Raw genomic sequence first — 18630 nt, 5'->3', positions numbered from 1 at the left:
CGGGAGGCTGAGGCAGGAGAATCACTTGAACCCAGGAGATGGAGTTTGCAGTGAGCCAAGATTGCACCACTGCACTCCAGCCTTGGCAACAGAGTGAGACTCCGTCTCAAAAAAAAAAAAAAAAAAAAAGGGGGGGGGACAGAGGAGCAGCTGTGTCACATGGAAGAGGAAGCAAGAGGAGGAGGATGTGCCGGGCTCTTTTTAACCATCAGATCTTGCCGTAACTAATAGAATGAGAATTCACTCATTACCACAAGGAGGGCACCAAACCATTCCTGAGGAATTCACTCCCATGGCTCAAAAACACCTCACTAGGCCCCACCTCCAACACTGAGGGTCACATTTCAACACTAGATTTGGAGAAGACAAATATTCAAACTATATCACACAGGTATCATTGAAGGAATGCTTGTGGTTTAGGACCTGATGGTTGGTGCCACTTACTAAGCTGTTGTCTTTCAAATGTAAATCCATTCTTTCATATTCTACTTTGTGAAGGCAGGGTTGGAACTGTTCATATTTTATTTCTCTTTAGAGATAAAGAGCTGAAAATTTAGCCAACTGGAGTCCTGGAAGGTGTATCCAATAAGTGGCACTGGAAGGAGACTGGAAGGCAAGTGGAGGGGTTAGGATCTTGTTTGTTTGTTTATTTGTTTGTTTGTTTATTATGTTGCCATCCTAGCAATAAAACTTGACTTTGCAGTAGCAAATGTTTCTAGCAGCAGTTCTTCCCAGTTTCCAAGATCTTTCCACATTCCCAGAATTGGTTTTATCATTCTTCCTTATCATACCAACACCTGCCAGATACTGCCTGCTTCTAAGAAATCTCTATTCCCCAGCTCTGAAGGACCACCCCCCACCTCCCTCCGCCACTACCCTCCGCCACCTCCCTCCGCCACTACCCTCCATCCACTAGCTCAGATTGGCAGTGTTCCCCTCCTCAGAGGTCTGGTTCCTAGTTTATGGGGCTGCTCCTCCAAACTTTCAAACTCTGACTATCCCAGCCTCTTCCCCAGCCCTGTCATCAGGTAGAAAAGAATGAATTTATTGAGTGAGGACTTTGAGAATATAACTAGGATAATAGAGTAACATATTTCAAATCAATGTAGGTGAGAAAGTTTCAATAATTAGAGGTGTCAAAAAATTGAATGGGTTGGATTGAATTTTCCATCATTGATTTAATCAAAACAAGCTGAATTGCCATTAAATGAAGATATTGCCAAGGGAAGGCAGTGTCTTCATTTAGCGGTAACCCCCTTGGCAATATCATCATTTAGTGGCAATTCAGTGGGAGACTGGGCTGAATGATATCTAAGGTTCTTTTCATTTGGAGAATCTTACAATGTAATCCATAGTAAAATATAATCATAACTACCATGATCGATGACCACTACCTAACAGATACTGGATCCAATTCCTTATTTATATTATTTATAATGATTATAACAACCCTATATTGTTGGATATTATCATTCTCATTTTATAGATACAGAGAAAGTAATTGAGGATCACGCATGATAATTAATTGGCCAGGGTCACAAGAGTTTTCAAGTAGTTACAATAGGATTTGGGCTCTTATGGGTTGCACTACCAACTTCCTAATAAGTCTCAGACATGTGACTCTGGAATATTCTTTTATGCAGCCTTATGGTGCCTGATTCCTGCTAACCCTTTTGACTTTTTTCCATACAAAATATGGTAGGAGGAAAAGCAAAGAGATGTGATGAGTAAAACGTGATGACAACAGTTACACATTCATCAAACCCATGTTACTTATCTGTACACACTGCCATTTGGACATGCTGCACCTCTGTCATAAATGCACTCTCTTTAGCTACCTGGTAAACTCTGGCTACTCCACTCCACTGAGAAGGCTATTTGGGCCTGTCTTCAGAGAGCATTAGGGGCTCCCAAATGTCTGTACAACACAACATGTATTATTATTGAAGCTCACTATACATTTTCTACCTTTTTGTTTTTGCTAATCTATCTGACTGCCTTTGAGGGCAATAATTTATTCATTTTGTATGCATAGGACTTGGCATGATATGTGACAGTAGCATTCAAAACATTTTCTATAGTGTGTCAAGTCAATTCCTGGTTTGTGATAATGGGGAAGTTTATATGATTTTTCTACAACTTATTGCTCCCAGAGGGGAGTTTCAAGAAGAGCATGGATAATGATTTTGAACATTACAGTTGGGCAAAACTGTTTACTTTTTCTAAGCCTAACTCATCAGAAAGACTTTTCAGCAGTTTCTAACGTGATACAAAAATCATATGATAGAAACTGTCCATTGAATTCAGGAGAAAGATCATTTGATTAACCATTTTGAGAAAAGCACCAGTGGAACAGTGGGAGTTGAAACAGGTTTCAGTAAGCCAAATCTTACACTGAACATAAAGAAGAGGCAGAGGTACAGACCACTCTCATGAATATTTACTTTATATAGAGGGGATGGGCAATAGATACAATTGGTTGTTGTTCTAAGGAGTTTCCTTTATTAGTTTGGAGAGGGGGAGATTTGAACTTACAGTAATGAAATGTTTAAAGGAAAGAGGCAATATAGAGAAGTTAACAAGGAGAGGAACAATCTGTAGAGCTAGATCTGAGGAGGCTCCTAGGAGGGAAATGGCATGCAAATGCAAATGGATAGATTTATTTGAGGCAACAGAAGGGATACCAATTTTTTTTTCCATTTCGACAGGGTTACAGGGAAAAGGATAATGTGGATATTGACAAGGTTATAGGATTTTAGGTGGTATTGAGGTAGCCCCAGTGAGGGCTTCAAAAGCAATGGTAGCATAGCACATAATTAGGAGCACATGATCTAAGGGCCAACCCTGGATTTAAATTCCAGCTCACCCTCTTACTAATAGCGTAACTTCAAGAAAGCAATTTAACATGCTAGCGCCTTGTTTCCCAGTGATTATAATCATGCCCTTACCCACCTTGAGTGGTCTAAAGACTTGATCAGTTAACACATATAAATTCATGTAACAGTGCTGAGCATAGTAAGCTCTATACATGTTCACCAGCATCAGAGTGTGAAGCACGGATTGTCCCACTTCTACTGGAAGTGCCTGAGTGTTGGTGGATTCAGAGATTTTAATAGAAGACAATTTGAAGGGAATACTGCAGAGCACAAAAAAAGCTGGTGCAACATAAAAGTCTTAAGCAGCTTTGAGGACCCAGTTTAAATTGGGGGTCACGGCCGGGCCTGGTGGCTCACGCCTGTAATTTCAGCACTTTGGGAGGGCAAGACGGGTGGATCACCTGAGGTCAGGAGTTTGAGAACAGCCTCCAATATGGTAAAACCCTGTCTCTACTAAAACTACAAAATCATTAGCCAGGCATTGTGGCATGCGCCTGCAGTCCCAGCTACTCGGGAGGCTGAGATGGGAGAATTGCTTGAACCCTCGAGGTGTAGGTAGCAGTGAGGTGGAGGTAGCAGTGAGCTAAGATTGTAGCACTGCACTCCAGCCTGGGCGACAGAGAGACTTGGCCAAAAAAAAAAAGAAAAAAGAAAATAAATAAATAAATAGATCTGGGGTCACAAATATGTATTCCAGCCATCTTCAAGCTTCTCCTCACTTCATCTGGTATAGATAGATGGGAAGAAGGCAGACAGTTGGGTCAGCCCAACTAGAAGCTGTGAAGGAACAACAATGAGGTGGTGGAATTGAGAACCCTAACAATAGATAGACAGTCTGAAGTAAGAGAACATGGAGACTAAGCTAGATATGTTAACAAATGAAAGGGGCTTTATAAAGAGAGAGACTAGAGAGATGAAGGGTAGAAAAGGTGGGAAATTGGTATTCTGCAATTTTCTGAGGAAGAAGGATAGGATATAAGGAATTATGGTAAACTGACTTCCATAACTCAAAGACACTGCAGACAACTTGAGGCCTTGCCTTCCCTGCACTGGACTGGAATACAACTGGGGAAAGGGTGGGGCCCATAGCAGGGAGAAGAATAAAGAGAATAGTGATGGAACTGGGTGGGGCAGGGCTTGAAGGCTGTGGGTGTGGGGCCCCATAATCATTTGGTCCAGGACAGGCAGTAGGCGTCAGGGGGCGCCCTAAGGCTCCACGGCATGTGCCTGTATTGCTGGGACATCGAGCCTTCCCAAGTCAACCCTGTGAGTCTGCTGGGGCCTACAACCTCAACTCTGCCACTCTGTCCTGTGCCTTGAGCTCCAGGCCACTGTGGCCTTGGCCATGGTGCTTCTAACTCTTGTAAATGTGGTTTGGTGCTGGGGGTTGGGAAATTCCAGGTGATGTAGACAGACTACATCCTGACTGCTGGACCCCTCTGAAACAAGAAAAAGCTCCACCCACTGTGTGCTTAGGGGTCAGGTACATCACCTGTATGTTGACTGCCCCATTGGCCTGCCCTAGGAGGTGGAGTGGAAATTACAGAAGTAGGGAGCAGGATAAAGTTCTCAATTGCCAGATGTGGAACAGATTGCTCTTGGGTCTTCTGGTTAAAAGATTGGATCAAAACGAGTGAAGGAGGAGTTATTTAAGGTACAATCAAGAAATAGAGGAAGTGGTGAGAATCTCGAAAACTAACAGCCAAGCTCCCTGTGCTTCAGAAAACCATACGATCTCAATCACATCACCAATTACTCCTAGGCTTTGAAACCAGATTGAAGACTAGATTGCTCAATAGCACCACTGAAGTCCTGTAGAAGCAGAAACATGCATTTTTCGATTTCTCGTACATTCTTTCCCTCCCGAATATATCTCTATACTCTGCCTTTTATCTGTAAGGTGGTTCACAGCTGGTTCTTTTTTATCATAATATCGTCTCCATCTTCCACCACAATTTTTATCTTAGATGTTTTTATTCTGAACTTGACTTTTTTCTTTTTGTTTTTTTAACCTGCTTCTTATAGTTGAAATGATTCATATAATACATAAATTTAAAAGTAGCATAGGCTTCCTATTATAATAATTAATTTACTGTTTTTAATGACTTTTTTGTGTGAATGTGTTTTAATTTTGTTTATTATATAGGAAGGACCAAGACAACATCATCCTTCAGAGGTCACTGAGCGGCAGGTAATGTTTAAATAAAGAACTAGGTTCTGGTTGTTTAAACATTGTGCTTGTAACTTGTTCCTTTATGTAGTGGTCCCTAACATAATAGAACTTGTATTAAGTAGACACTTCAGTATATTTCTTGGGACTCTGGGATCTAATGACTACTATTGGAATGGGTCTTAACTAGGGTAAACTAAATGGCTTATGTTATTTTTTAATGTAACATTTGACACATATACAAAAATAGATGTGGCAGATATAATTTATAAATTACAATATGCCTCCCATTTAAGGATTAAAATATTAGGTATTTCTGAATCCAGCTAGGGAATGCTTTTCTATTCTACCTCCTAAGGTCTCTCCCAGAGGTGACCTCCATCTTGAATTTTAGCTACATCAATCTCTTCCTCTTCTTTAATAGTTTGTTACATAGGTGTCTCTATAAGTGCACTATTTGCTTTTGCTTGGTTTTGAACTTTATAAACATAGGATCACACAAAATTTAGTGTATGATTTACTCTTTTTTCTCAATATTATTTCCTAAGATTTATCTACATTGCTGTATATAGTTTCTTTATTTTCACTGCTGTTCAATATTTTGTCATGGAACATATCACAGTTCATTAATCCTTTCTCTTGTTTATGGACATTGTGTTATTTTTACATTTTCCTAAAATGAATAGTACTATTGCAAACATTCTAGTACACATCTTCTTGCCCCATGCACAAGAATGCCATTTGATTATTTAGGCAGGAGTGTAATGGTTGAATCATAGGAAAAGCAAATTTTTTATTGTTAGAAAGTAGTGCCACACTGTTTTCAAAGCAATTGTTCAAGTTTATATTCTGTTATCAGTGGATTTTTTAAAAAGTTGGTTTTCAAAGCAATTGTACCAATTGATACTTCACTGGAAGTGGATAAAAAAGTTATTGTTATTCATATCCTTTCTATTCTATTACTGTATTTCATTATCTTAAAAGCATTCTAGTTTGATCTCCTAGGTATCTGCTACTTGTAGACGCCACACAATGGTGGCATAAAAAGCTATGTGTGTCATGCAACATTTCAAAGGAGTGAATAATTGTTTTCATATTTCTATAGAGAAAATTCCCTAGGTGTCCTTAATGAACATTATTTTTAAAGCAAAAGTAAGCACACTAATCCATGAGTCTGGATCTACTTAAGTGTATGCAGTGGTAAGATGAGAATCAAGAATAGTCTTATTTGAAAACCCTACTGATGCTCCAATGTGGTTTTCTTCACCTATGAACCATACATTTGAATGAAAGAGATTTTTCGCCCTATTTCTATGTAGTTATGTGAACCGTTTGCAGTGGTGGTGTTTACCTTTTTTATTGACACAAACCAAAAATGTAATCAGAATGTTACCTTTATATGTTACAAAAAAGTATGATTTTTCTTTCATTTTAATTTTTCTAAAGCTTGCAAATAAACGTATTCAGAATATGCAACACCTAAAGAAAGAGAAGAGGAGACTGAATAAAAGGTTTTCAAGGCCTTCTCCTATTCCAGAACCAGGACTCCTAGTAAGTATAGAGGTTTCACTGAAATTAACAGATCATTAAATGCAACTGATATCATCATTTTAATTCATGTAATATTCACTATAAATTTTCTTTTTCCCTTTCTCTTTGAGAAATTTCTAATTTCAGTCTTAAAAGTCTTATCTCATCTATTATTTAAATATCCTCTGCTGTCATCTCCTGGAGGTGATATGGTTTAATGAAAAGAGGATTATCTTTGAAACCAGGTTGTTCTGGACTCCACTTCTTGTTTTGCCATATGTTAGATGACTACATAAGGTTAATCACTTAAATCTTTTGGCTATATATCTGAAAATTTATTGCCAAATTTAAGGTCACATTAGTTCTCTTATGTATTATCTCCTAGAAGTTTTGCAGTTGTGTATGTTACATTTAGGTTTATGATCCATAGCGAGTTAATGTTACTGAAAGGTGTCAGTGTCCAGATTATTATCATTATCATTTTCATGTAGATGTCAAGTTCTAGTACCATTTGTTGAAAAGACTATCTTTTCTCTATTGTATTGCCTTTGCTTCCTTATCAAAGATTTATTGACTATATATTTGTGTGGGTTTATTTCCGAGCTCGCTATTCTGTCTCGTTGAATCCTGTTTTTCATCAATACCATACTGTCTCGAAAACTATAGATTTACAATAAGTCTAGAAATCAGGTAGTGTCAGTCCTCTTCTGTTCTTTTCCCTCAATGTTGTGTTGGCTTTTCTGGAACTTTTCCCTTTCAATATAAAATTTAGAATCAGTTTGTTGAAATCTACAAAGTAACTTGCTAGAATTTTTATTGGGATTGTGCTGGATCCAAAGGATCAGTTTGGAAATAACTGATATCTTAACAATATTGAGTCTTCCTATAAATTAACATAGAATTTCTCCTATTTATTTAGATCATCTTTTTTACCTGAGTTTTATAATTTTCCTCATCCAGATTTTATACATATTTTCTTGGATTTATGCCTAAGTATTTTATTTTTTGTTGCTAATATAAATGGGAGGCTGTTTTTCACTTTGCATTCAAATTGTTCATTGCTGGCATAAAGGAAATCAATTGAATTTTCTGTATTAAACTTACATCCTCTAATCTTACTATAATTGTTTATTACTTCCAAGAGTTTTTTGTTTGTTTTTTATTGTTATTGTTGATTCTTTGAGATTTTCTACTTAGTCAGGTCGTCTGTGAACGAAGACACAGAACAATTTATTTCTTTCTTCTCAAACTGTATAACATTTATTTCCTTTTTTTGTCTTACTGCATTAGCTATGTCTTCCATTATGATGTTGAACAGAAGTGAGAAGGTACATTTTTGCCTTTTTCCTAATATTAACTGAAAAAAATCTGGTTTCTTGACAGTGACTATAATGTGAGGTTTAGGTATTTTAGAGATGTTCCTTATGAAGTGAAAGACATCCCTCTCTACACCTAGTACTGAGAGCTTTTATCATAAATGGGTACTGGATTTTGTCAAATTCTTATTATACATTGTTGATATGATCATATGATTTTTCTCCTTTAGCCTTTTGACGTGATGAATTTCATTAAATAATTTTAAGATGTTGAAACAGCCTTACATTCTTGGGATAAGTCTCAGATTGTGTATAATTATTTTTACACATGTTTGGATCAATTTGCTAATATTTTGTTGAGAATTTTTACATCTATGTTCATGAGAGGTATTGGTCTGTCATTTTCCTGTCTTTTAATATCTTTTTCTGGTTTTGGTATTAGGGTAATGCTCACCTTACAGAATGAGTCAAGAAGTATTCCCTCTGCTTCTATTTTCTGCAAGATATTGTAAAGAATTAGTAGTTTCTTTTTTAAATGTTTGGTAATCAGTGAAACCATCTGGGTTTAGTATTTTCTATTTTGAAAGATTGGTAATTATTAATTAATTTTTTAAATAGATAATAACCTTATTTAGATTATCTATGTCTTGTGTGAATTTTAGTAGATTGAATCCTTTTTAGATTTAGTCAGTTTTATCTAAGTTTTCAAGTTTATGAGCATAGAGCTATTGGTTATGTTCTTTTATTATTCTTTTAATGTTCATGGGATTGGCAGTTATGGTCTCTTATTTATGATGTTAGTAATTTGTGTCTTTTTTGGTTAGTCTGGCAAAAGTTTATCAATTTTACTAATATTTTCAAAGAATTATATTTTGGTTTCATTAATTTTCTCTATTGCATTCTGTTTTCAATTTCACAGATTTCTGCTCTAGTTTTTATGTCTTTTCTACTGCTTACTTTGGGTTTAATTTGCTCTTCTTTTTCTGGTTTCCTAAGGTGAAATCTTAGACTATTGAGTAAAGAGCTACTTCTTTTCTAATATATTAATTTAATGCTATAAAATTTCTCTAAGCATCACTTTCACTATATCCCATAAATTTTAATAAATCATATTTTCGTTTTCATTTTGTTCAGAATATTCTAAATTTCTTTTGAAACCTCTTCATCGATCTATGTGCTAGTTGTAAGTATGTTCTTAATTTCCAAATATTTGAGGAATTTCCAGTTATCTTTCTTGTTATTGGTTTCCAGTTTAACTCCACTGTGGTCTGAGAACACACTTTGTATGATTTCTATCCTTTTAAATTTGTTAAAGTATATTTTAATGACATTGAATGTGATCTGTCTTGGTGAATGTTCCATGTGTCTTGAGAAAACTGTATTCTGCTGTTATTAAAGTAACTATTAATGTCAATTAAATCCAACTGACTGATGGTGCTGTTCAGTTCAAATACATTCTTACAGATTTTCTGCCTGCTAGATCTGTCAATTACTGTTAGAAAGAATTGACATTTCCAGCTATGATAGCAGATTTGTCTATTTCTTCTTGCACTTTTATCAGTTTTTGCCTCACATATTTTGACGTTCTGTTGTTAGGAACAAACACATTAAGGATTACTATGTAATTTTACCCCATTATTATTATGTAATGTCCCTCTTTATCATTGATACTTTTTCTTGTTCTAAAGTCTTGTTTGTCTGAAATTAATAATGCAACTTCAGCTTTCTGTTGATTACTGTTAGCAATGTATATCTTTCTCCATCCCTTTGACACCATCTGCCCTTATAAAGTGAGTTTCTTGTAAACAACATACAGTTGTGTATTGTATTTGTATTAACTCTGACAGTCTTTGTCTTTAAGATCATTGACATCTGAAGTGATTATTGATATAGTCGAATTAGTATGTGCCTTATCTGTTACTGTCTTTTAGTTGTGGACTTGTTTTTACTTGCATTTATGCCATTTACTTTTCCATTCTTCTTCTGCATTCTCTAGTTTTGAGCAATTCATATTATTTAATATTCTCTCCTGTCTTAGCATGTCAATTATACTTGCTTTATTTTATTTTTTAACTTTTTCAGTGGTTTCCTTTGCATTTGAACTATACATTTATAATTTGTTCAAGTTCACTTTCAAATAACACTATACTACTTTATGGGTAATGCAGTTACCTTTTGACATAGTATTCCCATTCCCCTTTTCTTATTCTTCATAACATTATTGTCATTCACTTGTCCATAAAATATAAACAACACATACATTGTTGCAATTATTATTTTGAACAAATTATTATTTCTTAGATCAGTTAAGAATAAGACAGATAAAATATTTTATTTTACCTTCTTTTTTTTCATTTCTAATGCTCTTCCTTTAAGTACGTCCAAGTTTCTGACTTACAACATTTTCCTTTTCTCTGAAAACTTCTTAACTATTGCTGTGTGGGCAAGCCTACTAGTAACAAATATTCCTTCTGTTTTTGTTTGTCTGAAGAAGTCTTTTGTTCTCTTTCACTTTGGAAGGATACTTGCACATGATACAGAATCCTAGGTTTCTGCTCTTTTTCTTTGAACACTTTAAATATTTTACTCCATTCTCTTATTGCTTGCATGATTTCTGTAAAGAAATCCTATGTAATTGTTGTTATTCATGTTCCTATTTAAGTAAGCTATCCTACCACTTTCCCCCAGCTTCTTTCAAGATTTCATTTTTGTCTGATTCTTTTGCAGTTTAAATTTCATAAGTCTAGATGTAGACATTTATCTGGTGTTTATCCTGCTTTGTGTCTTATGAATTTTCTGAATCTGTGGTTTGTTGTCTATCATTAACTTTAGAAGGTTCACATCTATTATTATGTCAATATTTATTCTGTTTCTCCTCCTTCTCTTCCTTCCTTTCTTCTTCCTTCTTCTTTCTTCTTCTTCCTCTTCCTCTTCATCCTTTTCCTCTTCCTCTCCTCCTTCCTTCTTTTTTTTTCCAATTGTACATATTTATACTTTTTGTAATTGTTGCTCAGTTCTTGAATAATGTATTCTATATTTTTATACTTTTTTCTCCTTACCGTTAGTTTGGAAAGTTTCTATTTACATATCTTTAAGCTAATTAGTTTTTTTCCTCTGAGTTCAGTGTATTAATGAGCCCATCAATGTCATGCTTCATTTCCATTAAAATATTTTAGACTTTTAGTGTTAGTTTGATTTCTTCTTAGATTTTCCATTTTGCCTTGTATTACCCATCTTGTCTTGCATCATGTCCACTTCTTCTATTAGAACTTAGCATATTTGTCATAATTATTGTAAGTTCCAAGTCTGATAATTCTAAAATATCTGCTATTATCTGAGTCTGGATCTGATTGGTGCTTACTTTTTCACTTCAGATTGTTTCTGCCCTTTAGTGTGTCTTGTAGTTCTTTATTGAAAGCTGGATATGATGTATTGGGTAACAGAAACTAAGGAAGACAAGCTTTTAGTGTAGGTTTTATGTTTATCTGACTAAGATTTAGGCTGCATTTTCTGTTTATTTGTAACTGTGATATCAGAGGGTAAAATTTCCCCTGATTCAGTTTTGTCTTCCTCCTTATTTTTGGTCTTGCTAGGGACTCTTTCTTAAATAATATCTGAAGCTTGCAATTTTTTAAAGCTGGAATCCTCTGATATATACAGGAGACTAATTGATGTGTTGGTAAGTTGTAGGGGAAGAAGGGTTCCATAGCCTATGATTAGGATTCAGTCTTTAAGTGAGTCTGTATCTATAACTGCCCAGTGGGTTCATTTTGCACACTACCCAGATAGAGCCAATTTATCAAGACAGGGGAATTGCAATAGAGAAAGAGTTTAATACACATAGAGCCAGCTAAACAGGACACTGGAGCTTTATTATTACTCCAATCAGCCTCTCTGAAAATTTGGAGGCTAAGCTTTTTCAAGGATAGTTTTGTGGGCAGGGGCCTATGGGAATGGGCTGCTGGTTGGTTGGGAATGAAATCACAGGGGTATGGAAAATGCCTCCTCATGAGGTGAGTCCACTTCTGGGTGGGGACCACAGGACTAGTTGAGCTAAGAGTCTTGGGTCCATGTGGGGCTGCCTGGTCATCAGAAATGCAAAAGCCTGAAAAGATATGTGAAAAGGTCAATCCTAGTTTCTACAATAGTGAATAGGGGAAGTTGCAAATCTTGTGACCTCCAGAATAATGGCTGGTAATCACTTGACTATGCCTGCATCTTAGCAGAATTCAGGCCACTCTCATCCTCCTAACCTTGTGGCCTTTCATTAGTTTTACAAAGGTGGTTTAATTTTGGGGAAGGGCTATTATTAAACTATAAACTAAATTTCTCCTATAGTTAGCTTTGTCCATGCCCTGGAATAACCAAGGGCAGCTGGGAGGTGAAAGGCAAGATGGAGTTGGTTAGAACAGAAGTCTTTACTGTCATAATTTTTCACTGCAAGAGCAGTTTCCTATCCCTGGGATGTAAATTTCACAACTTCTTCTTTGCTATCATCCCTGTTAGGTGAGATAGGAAAGCTATAGGGAACAGGAGTTGTGTATTTCCTTTCCCCTAAGTCACTTAGAATTTGGTAAAACCCAATTTATTTAGGCTCTGCTAAAATAGTTTCTCTTGAGAGCATGCTCTGGTAAAGAGAACGGAGAGCTCTGACATATTTTTAAATGATTACTTCTCCCCTTTCACTACTAGAAGCAAAAAAAAAGATTGTTCTCTGATCCTTACAGTGAGATCTAGTGAGGCTCCTGGAGGTAAAATTTAGGAAACTATGGGAGCTTCCCTAAGACTGTCCTCTCTACACCCAGAGTTTTTAATTAAAGCTCATGCATACTGAGCCTCCAGCCATTCATCAGATAAAGTTGACATGTTCCCACTGGTACTGGCCTTAGCAGAAGGATTTTGTTCCTGGCAAGCTCTGATTCTCCACATCCACTTGTCTGTCTCTCTGGTTTTCAGGGCAGCAGCTTGCCCTGTGCCCTCACTTCTCTGATGAATGTAACAAGATTAATTGCTTTTCAGATTGTTCTGCTTTTTTCTTATTGTAAGGAAGGAAGGAACAATTTGCAAGCTCTTTATATGTCAGGCTGGAAAGCTCCACTTAAATTTCTTTGATCAAAATTGTTTAACTGGCCACCCCTAGCTGCAAATAAATTTAGAGATGTGAAAAATTAAACTGACTTCCTTGCTGCCCTGAAGAGAATAGAGGTACCATTAGCATGGAAGAAAGTACTTTCCTTCCTTTTTCAGACTGTGAGGATTATCTTTCTGTAACTTCCTCCTTTCTGAGATTTTGGAGTAAATTTATATTATGAGTAAAAGTTCAACCCATTGGCTTTGTTTACCATTTGTTTTTGCATAATGAAGGGAACTTACACATTGCCATACAGAAACCCAGGACCATCAACTATACACAGTTATTGTTTTGCCTTAACTATCAACAAAGCTCCTCCCTTGCTGATATACCAGTGTTTATAACCCCAACCCCATAATCTTTGTCTCTCTTTTAAGCATTAAAATATGCCTATGCACAGGAGAATGGCGTGAACCTGGGAGGTGGAGCTTGCAGTGAGCCAAGATAGCACCACTGCACTCCAGCCTGGGTGACAGAGCAAGACTCCATCTCAGCAAAAAAAAAAAAAAAAAAAAAAAATATATATATATATATATATATATATATATATATATAGCCTATGCAACATATATTTTCCCCTTCCAAGTTATCTCTTAGTATAACGTATCATAATTTGAGATATAGGAAAGAAAAGAGAATTATTCCTGGGTCTACCTTTCTATAGTGTAAGACAATTGCCACCATTTCTGAACCCTGTACCTCTTGATTCATTTACACACAGTTATTTTGGTTACTCTTTCTATCCCTTTGTCATTTCAATATCTAGTACCATCAATCTTGTTTTCTTCCATGACTTGGCCCTTAACAAACCATCTAAGGTTTTTAATTTCAAAAGCTCCCCTTTTTAACTAAAATTAGAACTACCATTTGATCCAGCAATCCCACTACTGGGTATCTACCCAGAGGGAAATAAGTTGTTATATTAAAAAGACACTTACACATGCATGTTTATAGAAGTGCAGTTTGCAATTGCAAAAATGTGGAATGAGGCTAAATGCACATCAAACAACCAGTGGATAAAGAAAATCTGGTATATGGATAAAATAGAACAGCCATAAAATGGAACAAAATAATGGCATTCGCAGCAACCTGGATGAAGTTGGAGACCATTATTCTAAGTGAAGAAACTCAGGAATGGAAAATAAAATATCATGTGTTCTTGATACAGGAGTTAAGAAGAAATTACTTAGGCAGATAGTAAGGGTATGGAAGTCCTTGTTAAGGTTTTCCCTTTAATGAAAAGCAGCTCCAAATCATTTTCCTCCTAACAAAGGGCAGCCTATAAAATCGAGCTGCAGACATAGATGCTGGCCATTGTACCAATCATGTTCAAAATGACAGCTCCATCTTCCCTTCTCTGCCAGCCACGTGTATAGTAAGAAGCAGAGAAGATGGCAATGGCCAAGGGGTAAGTTCATCTGCATAAGAAGATTAGAGTGAGGTGGCCAGCCTTCCCTGCATGCTATGTAAACATCATACCTGAGTGAACCAATCTGTGAGCCCTATGTAAATCAGACGCCTCCTCAAGCCTGACTATAAAATCTGTCGCCTCCACCACCGGCCCGTCTTTCCTCTCAGGAATCTCCTCTCTCTCACTAGAGAGAGAGCTGTTTTCCAGTCTCTTTCTTCCTCCTATTAAACCTCCACTCCTAAATTCCTCATGTGTGTCCGTGTCCTAAATTTTCTTGGTACGGGACAACGAACCCTGGGTATCTACCCCAGACAATGTAGCTGCCTCCTTCTCACCTACAAGTGGGAGCTAAGCCATGAGGTTGCAAAGGCATAAGAATGATATAATGGACTTTCGAGACACATGGGGAAGGAAGGGAGGAAAGTGAGGGCTAAAAGACTATACGTTGGGTATAGTGTATATTGGTCTGTTGATGGGTACAGAAAAATCTCGGAAATCACCACTAAAAAACTTATGAATATAACCAAAACCACCTGTTCCCCCAAAAACAATTGAAATAAAATAAGTTGCTATAAACTGAAAAAAGCTCCCCCTTTTTTTCTTGAAGTCCCAGATGTTTTTTAAAGAAATGTCTACAAACTGTTCTATACCATTCATCCCACCAACTGGTTTGAGGTTGCAGAGACAACTGAAATGTTTCACAAATAAGTAAGAATATGCAAAATAAGATATATTAAATATGAAAATCCTAAGTTCATTCTGGTACTTATGTTTTCTTTTGCATTGATACAAAAATTCTGGAATTGTCTTCAGAACATCCAGATACTTTTTACTAATGGTATTAGGCAATTATAAAGGCTCTGATAACTCATAAAAGAGAAAGTATACCTTTCTTCCAAGAAAGCACATTGAGGAGCTCAAAGTTCGAAAAAACTATACTAAAAGGTTTCTCTTCACTTTTCAAAGAATAGCAATAACAAAGAGTTACTGTGACAACCGTATTCTAGTTTTTCTTCTATATATTGACCAAGATGTATAGTATCTCCCATTTAAGCTCAGGCACTCAGTCCTTCTCAAATATGGTCAAAAACAGTTACTTTAATTTTGTTTTGTTTCATTTCATTTTAATTTTCAAATCATTGTGGATTGATAATTTTTAACATAGACAATTGCTCATAATGTCATCACAGTATCAAACTGTTACAAATGAATACAAATGTTTACTCTCAATTTCTCTATTAATCTTGTCTCAAAGTGATAATGAATATGACACACCAGAAACCATACCACAGAGTAACACTGCTTTAATCTTTGTTAATTCTTCTCATTTTACCTTTTCATCTCTTATACATTTTGCAATTTGCTTTGTTATAAGCAGTATCCCTACTAATGCCCTCTTCTCATTTTTTTCTGCTTAAATCAATCTTTAAGAAAAAAATGCAATAACAGTTTTTGTACAATTTAAATGTTTTGGGACAAAATAAAAGCCTGAATTCCTACAAATAAGTACTTTATTTGACAAATAACTTTTGCCCAGTACAACAGAGGACGTGCGATGAAGTTAGAACACAGTTGTTAAAAGAAGTTTGAAAAAATATTTTTGTTTTTATTTTTGTCTGTAAACTTTTTTTTTTTTCTTTTGAGACACAGTCTCCCTCTGTCGGCCAGGCTGGGGTGCAGTGGCACAATCTCTGCTCACTGCAACCTCCGCCTCCCGGGCTCAAGCAATTCTCCTGCCTCGGCCTTCCAAGTAGCTGGGATTACAGGCATGTGCCACCACGCCTAGCTAATTTTTGTATTTTTAGTAGAGATGGGGTTTCACCATGTTGGCCAGGCTGGTTTCAAATTCCTGGCCTCAGGTAATCCTCCTGTCTCCGCCTCCCAAAATGTGGGGATTACAGGCGTAAGCCACCATGCTTGGCCAACTTTTATATAATAAAACCTTTTAAAAATTATATCGTTAAGTGTATGTATTTATGAATGTTAAAATTATCCTTAAATATTATTTTAAGGTTAAATTTCTGCCAATACTGATGTAGGCAATTTTTTCATTTTTCTTGTCTTTTATTTGTCCCTGTTGCTCACTTTATTCTGGGTCATTTTCAGACATAAACACACTCAACAGATGCCTAAAATATGCTGTGTTAGTCACTCACAGAGCATAAGACTTGGAAAATAAAAGCCTTATTTAACATCTCTATCACATCTATTATGTATAGAAATGACTTTGACCTTTCTCAAAACTGATATCCAGGGTTTCTACAAATTCTTTCTGCTTGCGGTATTTGTTGTATGACTTATAGAGAATTGTTTTATATCATATCCATCTTCAGATATGATTTATTTGATGATAATTATTTTTGTATCTGGCTTCTATCTGAATGTGACCTTACTTTAGTTTAAAATAGCATTCCTAGCTATTAATGATTATTTTTTATAATACTTCTTGTATGAAATAGGTTTTCCATGAGACCATTTCCAAATAATTTATAGTATATCTAATCTTTCCTTATATAAATTTTAATTAAATTTCTTATTCTTTGTGTATTTTAATCTTGTCTAGTGGTCATCTTGATAAAGCAGGAGTCTATTTGAAGGAAACCATGCTCCAGACAGAAATATGTGGATTGTGAACATCAAGTGACATATCATGAATTGATCATCCACAAAATAAATGCAATACTCCACCATTTCGGAAAAATAAACACAGTGCAAGTATTTAATATCCAAGCTACAGGCTCTAGAATTTTATTAAATGCCATCTCTCACTACCATATTTTTCTTTCCTGTGGTAAACTTGAAATTTGCTGCTTTTCAACAAATAATAATGAATATGTATAGGTAGACTTTTGAAAAATATTATTCTCATTTAAATTTTTGCAAATGTTTTATGACATATTTAGATGTTTAGAAGTATGTTATAATAATAGAACACCAGATTTCCTCTGCTGTATATTTATAATGACTTCCATTTAAACAAAATGTTTAAATACTTTAAACAGTCCTAGGAGACTGTTATTATAACTAACTCCTGTATTTTGTGTTGCTATTGCAGATAAGCCATAGTGTAATTAAAATTTCCATTTAAGGTAAAATTTGAATATTGAATTAAAATTTTACTTTTAGGTATGAAATAAATTATAATTATTGCTGACTCTCTAAAATCTTTCTTAACTATAATACTTAAGTAATTTCTAATATATAGATTGAATTATCACAATTATTTTATAAATTAAAAGATTACAAACTATTGGATTCACATGAACATTATATTTGGTAACCGATTTGCAATCTCTAATATGCAATTTAAAGTGAGGTACAGGGAATTCTACTATTGGAAATGATGGAAGCACTATAATTATGCTTCCACAATAAGCAATTAGAAGATAGGACAAAATATTGAAAACATGGTTTCCCAGAAATGGAACAAAAGTGAGAAGGACTGTGACTTCTGAGACAAGATAAATAAATGAGAGTAATCCTATAATTATCCATTTACTGCCTGGAGGAGCATTCCAGATCATCATCCAGGGAAAAGGATTATAAGTAGAGCACAGCAGTTATCCTGAGTTGAAGGTGAGTTGATGAACAGAAATAAAAATTCAGGGAGTCTGGGGAAGCTGGAAGTTGTAGGGAAGGGTTCCACAGTAAGAACTATGCAAAGAACTTTGTAGGTGTGCATATTGCTCATGTTGAGTCTGCTCATTGATAAGCTGCATGTGCACAGAATGAAACTGAAAAAGGTCACATCTTTTTATTCTTTCTTTTCTCCACAATGCTAGGTAGTGAAGAACTGGTTAGCGATAAACTAAACAATCCTCAGCATTCACACCTCCAGAGGTAGATGCTTGAATTTTGGCCAGAGGCATGGAGAGTCCTTGTTGTTCAAACAGGGCATTTAGTAGAGAGACCATAAGAGTCATGTCTTAGTAGTAGTGGTAAATTACCTGTAGCATAAAGATGACTCTAGGCCTAGCCTAAGGATGCTTAAAAACTAGTTTGAAAAAATCAGACTTATCTGCAAGTAACTGCCCACCAGAACAAAGACTACAAAATCCAGGTATTTAACATACACGATGTCTAGTATCCAATAATAAATTTCTAGGCATGCCAAAAAGCAGGAAAACAAAATACATGATTGGGAGAAGATAAAAATCAATAGAAACAGACACAGAAATGAAAAAAAATAGAATTAG

The 18630-nt window shown here is 35.7% G+C and overlaps 1 protein-coding gene and 1 long non-coding RNA gene across 9 annotated transcripts in view; one reads left to right on the top strand and one right to left on the bottom strand.

The window, feature by feature from the left end:
• LINC02718 (long intergenic non-protein coding RNA 2718) overlaps positions 1-18630 on the bottom strand; it is a 376384-nt gene that overhangs the window by 341279 nt on the left and 16475 nt on the right. The window lies entirely within an intron of this gene.
• On the top strand, positions 4045-17597 carry CCDC179 (coiled-coil domain containing 179). Of its 3 annotated transcripts, XM_011519802.3 has the most exons (5): positions 4045-4142; positions 5023-5067; positions 6493-6597; positions 15042-15142; positions 16998-17597. In XM_011519802.3, the coding sequence occupies exons 1-5, from the start codon at positions 4098-4100 to the stop codon at positions 17065-17067; spliced, it is 366 nt and encodes a 121-aa protein (XP_011518104.1). In that variant the 5' UTR covers positions 4045-4097; the 3' UTR covers positions 17068-17597. The 3 variants fall into 3 exon arrangements, with proteins under 3 accessions (XP_011518104.1, NP_001182566.1, XP_011518105.1); NM_001195637.2 differs by lacking the exon at positions 15042-15142; XM_011519803.3 differs by lacking the exons at positions 15042-15142; positions 16998-17597 and adding an exon at positions 7867-7904.

The sequence above is a fragment of the Homo sapiens genome, chromosome 11 (assembly GCF_000001405.40).
Source record: "Homo sapiens chromosome 11, GRCh38.p14 Primary Assembly".
NCBI lineage: Eukaryota > Metazoa > Chordata > Mammalia > Primates > Hominidae > Homo > Homo sapiens.
This window is presented reverse-complemented; position numbering and strand designations above follow the sequence as displayed.